Genomic DNA, 11,538 nt, shown 5'->3' on the forward strand with positions numbered 1-11,538 from the left:
CATGTTGTTGTTACTAGCCTTCTGACTTTGGGCAAGTGTTTAACCACTGTGGGTCACAGTTCCTCCATATGTAAACTGGGTAAATTTATACCTTCATTATAGAATTATGAGACTTAAAGTAGTTAATCCATATAAAGTATCTAGGACTGTCTCACAAATAAGTGCTTATCATATAATGACTTCTTTAAAACAAAAAAATAAATGAAATGTGTTATATAAAGATATTTCATATCTGATGTGAGAGCTCATTAAAAGTGGAGATTGATGGGACATTAGCCTGATACTCAGAGAAAGATGCTGTGAGAGTACCTTTCAAGTGTCAAGGAAGAAGTAGGTCCAACCTGTCGGAAACCTGAGATTTTCTGAGTCTCCATTGTGGATTATGATTTTTATCCACTAAAAGACATGAAACTTTGGTCTCAGAAGAGAAGTTGTAAGGCCTCCCTACTGTTTTCCTTTCTTGAAGTCTGGAACTGTTGGTCCAGCTGGACTGGACAGCTAGAGAAAGGTAGTAAGGCCTCTGGTTAATGTCAGTGCCTTTGGTGTGCAAACTCCCAAGATGAGCTCCCAACTTCCCCTAATACTGTTTTATACGCCTAGAGATGCCCCACAACAGTTTTGTTTTATTTTACTTAGTAAACTATGTCCTCCTCACACACTTGGACTAGCCTAAATATATGTAAGTTGGTTCAGAGGTGAAGTTTCCCCCCACTGAAGAGCTCCTTGTAGCACATCCAACCTGCTACAGGCAACATTCTTGATTGAACAACTCCCTGGACCCAGAGTATATCATACTTTCTGCTAATTCTCTGCTTTTAAGTTATCATCAATAAATCTTATTATGGCTAATACACCATGTCATTAGTGGTGTGGGCTACCATGTACCTTGAACAAAGCTCAAAAAATATCTACCACTTTTTCTACTCAAAGCTTTTTATGCAACTAGTAAAATCACCAATCCATTTATGCCTGAGATACAGCTAATATCACAGAAAATAAATTGCAGTTTGGAGAGGTTGTCTATTCTAGTATCAGCCTGAGATATTTTCCTGACATCTCATTTTAATTATAGAAGACATAATTAATAAAATTGCATCCTGGTTACCCTCAAATCTGTCCATGGTCCAGTTTTACCCTTTGACTTGTGTCCAAATGACACCAATTTTGTTAAGGCGCAGCTCTGGATTCAGAGGTAAACACATTCATCTTCTCATTAGGTCTGATGAAATCTATCTGCAGGAAGGTTATGTGCCAAGACACTGATATTTGCCAAGAGGATGCACTGCTATAAACTTCATCTCTGAAAGTCTTCCAGTTGGAAAAAAGTTAGAAGGCTTCCTCCAGAGAAAATGAACTAAGAGGAAAGATTTGAGTCTTTTGGTTTAGGAATTTTACCTAGAGTTAGTTCCTCTTGAGGGAAATTCAGTGTATCTGTTCTTAGCAGTTCTACAAAGACTTGAGATCTTTCAAGACAAACATTATGGTCTTATATAAATTCAAGTAAACTTTCTTTGGGAATATAGCCAAGGGAAGTAAATTTGCAAAGAAGTTATAAGAGTTCACTAGAACTTGACTCTTAAAAGAATAAAATATGCATATTTACTCTTGCTTAACATCAGATGAAATCTAACTAGGAATATAAAAGATATGTAAAATAAAATACAGAAAAAAACTGGAAATTATCTTCAACTTTTATGAACACATGAAGGTAATCATATCACACAAGATGGGCCCAGAAATATAGAGAACTATTTATTATAACAAGATCTACACCCTCCAAGCAGGATCTAGAGAAAGGTCCCAAATCAATAGTCACCCAACAGGTTACTCCCAAGACGAACATTCTAATGAGTGATTCCTAGAAGTGTCAACACTGACAATTGCTAAGTTCGGGCAATGGCAGTCTTTTCTGAGTTAGCAGGAACCTGTCACTGCACCCTGGTTTTACATTAGGCTAATAATAATTACTACTTTTTCATATATCTTCTTATGTGCTATCTGACTTACACAGACTCATATTAGAAGCCCATGAGCCAATTATTTATATTTCCATTTGGCAAGGTAATAAAATGTATTTATTCTCAGAAATAACTTACCAAAGGCATCTGCATTAATTACATTTTTCATGTTAACTACAGCACAAATTCAGTGTGTAATTAGCAAGGCACAAACAACAGAGATTAAAAATGGCAAAAAATTGCGACAAAAATATGTTACAGGGGAAAGATGGAGTTGAACATACTTTTCCCTATTTCTATGGCTAAGTAGAACTAAAAGCCCTGGTCATTATATTACTATATGAAACAAACATGAGAAGACTCTGAAAGGTGGATAGGAGTAGGTAGAACGGCTAGGGACCTCAGGACCTTGGAATTGACATAGAGGTGAGTTCTGTGGTTTGTTTTGTTTGTTTTGGTTTTTTTGCCTCATATATCCTAGATTTGGAGCTGGAGGAGCCATTAAACCCGAAAACCTAACAAGCATAGACAAACAAAATCCTGCCCTCTTTAACCAAATAATGAGGGAAAGGGCAGCCTAGTAAAATAGTGAACCTCAGACAATAGCCACCCTACTCCAGCCGAGTACAACAGAAAAACCTGTGGCCCCCACACCCATACATTCCAGCTGAGGCTGAATACAGTGCCTAGACTTCCACTAAGGGCGGGTTGTAACGAGGCATCACAGTACCCTGCTGGGGGTAGTGTCAGAGAATGCTGAGGAAGAAGTTGGGACTTTGATTCCTACTGTGAGGTAATGAACCCATTCCCAACGATGTCAATGGAGACCATGTGTAGATCCTGGACTTACACCCCTATCTGGCAGTAATGAAGGCTTCCCCCCCACCCCAACACACACAACTCTAAGGTGTCAACAGAGGCTGAGTGGGAAGTCTGGACTTTTACCCTCACCTGACAAGAATGAGGTGGGGCACCCCCATTCCCTGCTAGAGTGATGTCAGAGTTAAATTTAAGATAAGCCAGTTAAAATGAAACGTTTAAATGAGGTCTAGAACTTATAACATAAAATGGAATTGTCTGGCCTTTAACCCCAAATCACATATCATACCAAGAATCAGGAAGGTCTCAAACTTAACAATAAAAGATAGATGCCAACACTGAGATGGCAAGATGTTACAATCATCCAACAAAGATTTTAAGGCAGCCATAATTTTTTAAAAATGCTTCAGTAAATGATTACCAATATACTTGGAACAAAGGAAAAAATAGCAAGCCTCAGCAAAGAAACAGAAAGTATCAGCCAAAAAGAACCAACAGAAATTTTAAAATTGGAAAGTAAGTAACTGAAATAAAAAAACTTAGTGGAAGAGTTCAACACAGAATGGAAAGGACGAAAGAGCCAGTGAACTGCAAAATAGAACAATAAAAATTACCCAGTCCAAACCATGTAGAGGAAATTGACTGGGAACAAAAATGAGTTTCAGGGGACTGTGGGTCTTAAAAGATCTAGCAGTCAAAAGGATAAAAAGGTGGGGTTAAAAAAACCAAAAGAAATAATGCTTGAAAACTTTTCAAATTTAGCAAGAGACAAATCTACAGATCAGTAAACTGCATAAATCCTAAATAGGCTAAATTCAAAGAAATCTAAGCCAAGATACACCATAATTAAACTTTGGAAAATTAGACAATAAAAAATAGTTTCATTTTTGAAAGCAGCCAGAGAAAAATAAAACCTTACCTATGGGGAAAAACTATTTGAATAATAGTGGATTTCTCATAGAAACCATAGAGGTCAGAAGTGGTACAATAGTTCTCAAGTGCTGATATTAAAAATAAAACAAACTGTCAACTGATTATTTTATCCAGCAAAAATATTCTTTAGGAATAAAGGGGAAATTAACATTTTCAGATGAAGGAAAACTAAGCAAACATATTGCCAGCATACCTACCCTAAAATAATGGCTAAAAAAATTGTAAACAGAAAAAAGTGGTGATAGAAGGAACTTTGGGATATCAGAAAGAACACAGTAGGCAAAAACATAAATACGATAAACTTTCCTTCTCCACTTGAGTTTTCTAAATTATATTTACTATTGAAGCAGAAAGTATAATACTATCTGATGTAGTTTTAAATACATGTAAATAAGATATTTAAAACAATTATATCATAAATAGGAGAGGATAAGGTGACATCAAAGAAGGTAAACTCTATACTTCACACAAACTGGGAACATGACATCACCAGTAGACTCATGATAAGTATATATAACAACTAGTAATTACTTAAAAAAAACTATACAAAGGAAAACATTAAGAGGTACTATTAACGATCGCCATTCTAACTGGCATGAGATGGTATCTCATTGTGGTTTTAATTTGCATTTCTCTAATGACCAGTGATGATGAGCTTTTTTTCATGTTTGTTGGTGACATAAATGTCTTCTTTTGAGAAGTGTCTGTTGATATCCTTTGCCCACTTTCTGATGCCGTTGTTTGTTTTTCCTTGTAAATCTGTTTAAGTCAGTAAACAACAGATGCTGGAGAGGATGTGGAGAAATAGGAACACTTTTACACTGTTGGTGGGAGTGTAAATTAGTTCAACCATTGTGGAAGACAGTATGGCAATTCCTCAAGGATCTAGAACTAGAAATACCATTTGACCCAGCAATCCCATTACTGGGTATATACCCAAAGGATTATAAATCGTTCTACTATAAAGACACATGTACAAGTATGTTTATTGTGGCACTGCTCACAATAGCAAAGACTTGGAACCAACTCAAATGCCCATCAATGATAAACTGGATAAAGAAAATGTGACACATATACACCATGGAATACTATGCAGCCATAAAAAAGGATAAGTTCATGTCCTTTGCAGGGGCATGGATGACACTGGAAACCATCATTCTCAGCAAACTAAAGCAAGAACAGAAAACCAAACACCACATGTTCTCACTCATAAGTGGTAGTTGAACAATGAGAACGCATGGACACAGAGAGGGGAAGATCATACACCAGGGCCTGTCGTGGGTTGGGGGGCTAGGGGAGGGATAGCATTAGGAGAAATACATAATGTAGATGATGAGTTGATGGGTGGAGCAAATCACCATGGCACGTGTATACCTATGCAACAAACATGCACATTCTGCACATGTACCCCAGATCTTAAAGTATAATAAAAAAAAGAGGTACTATAAATACATAAAATGGAATTCTAAAAAATATTCTCTAACACACAGAAATGCTGGAGAAAGTAAATAGAGAAACAAAAAGACAAACACAAAACAAAAATTAAATGGCAACATAAACCCTAACATATTAATAATTACATTAAATGTAAATAGTTTAAATACCCAAATTAAAAACAGAGATTGACAAAGTGGATTAAAAAACACGACACAACTTTCCACTGTCTGCAGAAACCTCACTTTATATATATAGGCAGAGTAAAAGTAAAAGGACCAAAAAAAGTTGTATCATGCAAACATCAATCAACATAAAGCAGGAGTGCATATTTATATTAAATGACATAGACCTAAGAGAAAAACAAAAAGCCAGAGACAAAAGGGGCATTACATAATGATAAAAGGGTCAATTCACACACACACAATACAGTAATTCTAAATGTGTATAAGTCAAACAACAAAGTTACAAAATCTACAAAGCAAAACTGATAGAACTGAAAGGAGAAACATCAAAAATTCACGGTTATAGTTGGGACTCTACATACTTCTCTCAACAATTTATGGAACGAATAGACATAAAATCTTCAAAAGTATGAAGGAATTCAACACCACCAACAACAAATAGGATCTAATCAGTGTTTACAGAATGCTCCACAAAGCAACACAATATACATTCTTTTCAAGTGCCCACAGAACATACGCCAAGATAGGCTGTATCCTGGGTCATGAAGCAAGCCTAAAGTAAATAAAAGAATTGGAATAATGCGGAGTGTGTTCTTTCACCTGAATGGAATCAAATTAGACATGAATAATAAAATGATAACAGAAAAATCTACAAGCACTTGGAAAGTAAACAAGTAACACAGACCCATCTTAAATTAACTTATAGGTCAGAAAAAAAACTCAGATAAATTTTTAAAAACTACATTGAAATAATGAAAATTAAAACAGATGTCAAAATTTTGGGGATACAGCTAAAGCAGTACTGAAAAGAAAATTTATAGCACTACATACATACATTAGAAAAGAACAAAAGCCTAAAATCCATAAGCTAACATCTCACCTTAAGAACAAATAAGAGCAAAATAAACCCAAAGGAAGCAACATAAATGAAATAACAAAAATAAGAGCATATATAAATGAAAAAGAAAACTAATAGAGGAAACTAATGAAACAAAGAGCTGGTTCTTTGAAAAGATCAATGAAATTGACAAACATCTTAAAGATGACAAAGAATAAGACTAGAAGGAGCAAATTACTAACATCAGGTATAAAACAATATCAGTATAAACCTTTCAGACATCAAAAGGTAATAAAAAATGCTGTGAACAAATCTATATACACAAATTAAACAACTTAGATAAAATACATTAGTTTCTCAATATTGGTCATAAACTATGACCATATAATAACTACAAAAATTGACTCAATATCAAATATATAATTTGAGTATCCCTATAATCATTAAGGAAATTAAATTCACAATTTTAAAATTTCCATGAAAGAAATCTCTAGGCCCAGATGTTCAGAGAATTCTACCAAATGTTTAAAGAAAAATTAACACCAATTCTACGTAATATCTTTCAGAAAGTAGAGTAAGAGGAAACACTTTCCAATCCATTTTATGAAACTGTTATTACCCTGATACCAAAAAAAAGACACAGAAAGAAAATATCAAAAGAGAAAACCAAAGACCAATATTCTTCATGAATATATATGCAAAAATCATCAATAAAATATTAGCATATGAAACTCAGCGATACATAAAAAGAATCATACCTCATGAATAAGTTTTGTTCCATGGATGCAAGGCTGATTCAATATTTGAAAGTTAATAAATGTAATCTACCATAATAATAGGCTACAAAGAAAAATTAAACAACCATATCAATTCATGCAAAAAGAACATTTGACAAATTGCTAGGTATTAGAAAAGATTACCTAGTAGAGCAATGGCATCTCAGTTTCAATTCCTACACATTATATCAGAACAAATATGCAGTGTCTAAAACCCGTTAGCTTCTCCTATCTTTGTTAAGTTTGCTTATTAACCATAAGAGAAACTCATCCTAGTCAGCACGCATAAAAGTGAGGCTGCTTTATATGACACAGCGGTATTTCATGGACTCCAAAGACAGCATACTCAGTCAGACTTTGCAAAGGATAAACTCAAAAAAAAAAAAAAAAGCTTGAAAAACCAAGTCAGCTGCTTTCTTCTTCTCAAAGTTCCAAGATCTCTTGTCATCCTTTTCTCTGTAAAACTACCTCATTTTTTTATCCCTGAAAAGGAAATCCATAAGGTCTGAATTTGCATATTCTCTGTTCCTATAACCAAGGTTTAGTCCTGCAAGCCTAACCACAAATATACAGGAGAAAGAATTCCACTCAGTCTGGTACAGGTGCCCATTCCTGGTCCAATCAATTAACACCAGAAAGGTGAGGGCCTCTGGCACATACATAGCTGAAGGAGGTGAGAGATGGGCATTGTTGGGCCCCACAGATACTCCAAAAACTACCCACAAAACATATTTGAAAATTCCAATATATCTTCACTGTTAAGAGGAGCAAGAAAGTTGTAAAGTTAGAACTTATTTGTTTTTGACTAGCTCTTCCCATATTTTCAGATTCCACTCATTCTTCAATACTTAGTACAATCCCACCTCCTCCATGAATCCCTATCTCTATATTCTAGTTCCCAAAATTCCTATGCACTAGGTCATTTAGGATGTAATGATGCATTACCAGATATATTTCACTACTATTTTACATTTATTAGTGTTGGCTCAAAAATCATAACTAAGGCTGGAGTGCAGTGGCAAGATCTTGACTCACTGCAACCTCTGCCTCCTGGATTCAAGCAATTCACCTGTCTCAGCCTCCCAAGTAGCTGAGACTACAGGTGCACACCACCACGCCTGGCTAATTTTCATATTTTTAGTAGAGACAGGGTTTCACCATATTGGTCAGGCTGGTCTCAAACTCCTGACCTTGGGTGATCCACCCACCTTGGCCTCACAAAGTGCTGAGATTATAGGCATGAGACACCACACCTGGCCCACAACTACTACTTCTAAATGCTATTCTCTTGTTGGCACCTCCTACACACACAATAGCACAATAAGTGTTCAATGAAATCTAATTTACTTATAGAATAATCATAAACATATTTCTACAGTCTTTTCCGAAATAGGATCCAAGAAACTGCATATTTGAAAGTGATACAAAAATATGAAATATGTTGGTTGAGATCAAGGATACTCAAGAAATAAATTTGGAGTTTTCATATTTAAGTATTAAAATAAAAATGCTAGAAACTTAGAGTTATTTACCACTGTTATTGAACCATTCCTCACACAATACACGGATGAAAAAAAGTACCTTACCCATTTAACTGGCAATAAAACTGAGGTACAATGGTGCAAAGATAATTATATGGGGTTGAAAAGAAAGTCAGCTATGAAGCTAAGGCTTAATTTTATATGTGTATTTTATACATTTATTTATTCTTTATTGGCTATGTGTTATGGTTCTATGAAAGTTACCAAGAAATAAAAGAAAGGGTCTCTCTCTTTAAAGAACTCATAAGTTGGTGGCGGAGACAAGATACATATAAATTAATTAAAAGATAAAATATGTTGAATAAAACCCTTTGCTTGGAAGCCCATCATAGGCATATGCACAATTTTTTAAATCTTAAATTCCATTATCCTACTCTTAGACTACAAACTCCTATCCTTATATAACTCTCACTCTCTTACCTTTAATATATCTTATATTTCTATTTTTGAATACTCATGCCTCTGTGCCATTACATTTTCTCCTAGCCTACCAGATATCACCTTTCATTTCTTATCCTGCCTGTATCCCATGCTAAAACACCATAGTTACTCAAATTACCCTCAATTTTCTTGGTCTTCTTTTGGTTCTATTCATTTATTTAATCCATCAACAAATACATAGTCAACACTTTCTTTGTATAAGTGCTATGCTGTGCACTGGGGCTACAGCTGTAAATAAAACCACTGTCCCATGAAGCTTACATGGTCATAAATCAAGCCAACCCCTCAGCTTCTCTTTTACACCCTGACTTAACTCTGATAAGGGAAAAAAAAAAAAATCACACAGTAGGATATAATGATGCCATTAGAAATGCATGATCTCCTACCTAGCCCAAACTTTAAATAAACTCATGATCTCGTTGTGAATTCCTCTGTTCTTTATTCCAAATGTTTCCTCTTCTTCTCAAATCATTTACTTCCCAATTTCCCACCCTTGGCAAATAGCCTTGACTCTCTTTTCACTAAAAAAAATAGGTCCATCTTGTAAGAATTTCCTCAGCTGCTGCTTCTTTTCCTTGCATTCATCCCCTCCTGGTGTCTGGTTGGTTCCCTTTCAAGGTGATCCCCTTGGTCTCCTCCATCATGTTTCAGATCCTGCCCTCTCCCATCTCCTCAAAGATCTTGCTCTATTAACTAATCATCACGTCTTTGTGTGCCTTCAACCTCTATGATGAGTCTCACTCATTTGCATATGAACATGTTTAAGTCTTTTCTGTCTAATCTAGAAAAATAAACATAACATCCCCTTGTTCTGACTTGTTCCTCTACTTAGTATTCTATCTATTTTCTCCTCTTAAAAAACAGTAAACTAAGTGAACCATAAGGAAGCAAAATTGTAAAATGCCCAGTATCCAAGGAGGTTTTCTGAGGGATCGTGAAGGTCAGAAAGCTCTCTGTGACTGCTCATTCTACAGTGGTATAATATTTACACACAGTAGCATGACAATCTCAGTGATTTGTTAACACTTTATATAGCATTGTTTGTTGTGAAAAAATCCCTGGTGCCGTCCTGTTAGTTCTGATAAGCTGTTCATGTTCAATAAAAGCAAAGACAGCCGTTCATTGCCATTTGCTTGGAAGCTCACCGTAGGCATATGCAGCAAGCCAGAAAATGCACACAACTCAGGAAAACGGGGAAACGCCACAGTTGGCAAAAAAAAGTCTCACATCTCTTGACACCAGAACCAAGCTTAGGAAAGACCTCTGGGCCAAGATGATTTGTGTCTCTACTGAGAGAGCAGGGCAGAGCTGGCTGGCCTTTCACCCTCTCCTTTTTCATCCTGCCTCTCTTCAGAGAGAACAGGTTTCTTCACGAGAGTCACCTTGCTTTGGGTTCCCAGCAAGCTGTGTTTCCCCTCTGAACATCTCAGCATCGTAATTCTCTATCCTTTGGATGCCAGTGCAACATAGAAGGTGGAATTACATGCTGGAGAAACAAGACAATCGCCTCTATTAAAAAAATAAATACGTAAGTAACAAATCAGTGTTTGATCCTGACAATATCTACAAGCTCTAGAGAAGCAATGGATATGAAAAGTTCTAACCTTTTTTTTTTTTTCAACCAACTGCAATATCATTTCCATTATTTCTCCAGGCTCCCATTCTGAATTCAAAGCAATTTATCTGAAGTTCAGACACAGTCACTGTGATTTAGTTTCAGTTTTATGGCAACTGCAGGTCTCTAATAAGTATGCTCCTTTCATTGATTTGGTTCCCCTTCAGCTACTGCTATAAATGTAATTGAAATTTTTTATTTTTTTTTCCTCCTGACCTAACTTTTTTTTTTCAACTGACAAGACAGCAGTCAGTGCAATGTCCTATGAGTTTTATATACTCCATTAATAAGAAATAGTTTCTTTTGGAAATGGACTTTCCTATCGTTTTCCTTTAACAAATTATATGTTTTTTAAAAGCCAAAGTAACCCCCTTCCTCCATCACATTTATTTTAGAGTATCAGTTAATTCCAACACTTAGAGTGGGAGGAAGATCCTTTCAAATGTTTTGGATTGTAACACATAGCACATGTAGTAAGCTGACTTTTAGAAAATATTTTTTACTTTTTAAGTCGTCACTCTTCATGTTGAGATTTTTCTCTGTTGATGAATTAACATGTTTATATAAGGCTGGACTGTTTTATATTCCCCATACCTCAAGGTGAAAGGAACCAATAACTGTTTTCAGGCAAACACAAGTACTTCCTAAGGAGAAAGATAGTTATTCTTGATGCAAGGAGGTTGACAGTCTTGTCTGTTACAAGCCAAAACCCAGTTATCTCTTGCCTCTCATGCATAATCCTTGTAAACATAGACAAAAAGTGACAGATTGAAGGGCCAGCCATATTTCATTCATTTTCTTTTTCCCTCTGAACTTTCCACCTCGATTTGAAATGTCACTTTTAATATAACTGTATTCTTATATGTATCTGGATATGTTTATGATGACACTATTTTATTTGTCCATTCTAGTTTAATTCTGCATATTTAGAATATATTTTGGAATTTGGTAAATTAGATCTTCCTTCATTTTTCTTATTAAAATATGTTTGGGGTTTG

The sequence above is a fragment of the Homo sapiens genome, chromosome 5, assembly GCF_000001405.40.
Source record: "Homo sapiens chromosome 5, GRCh38.p14 Primary Assembly".
NCBI lineage: Eukaryota > Metazoa > Chordata > Mammalia > Primates > Hominidae > Homo > Homo sapiens.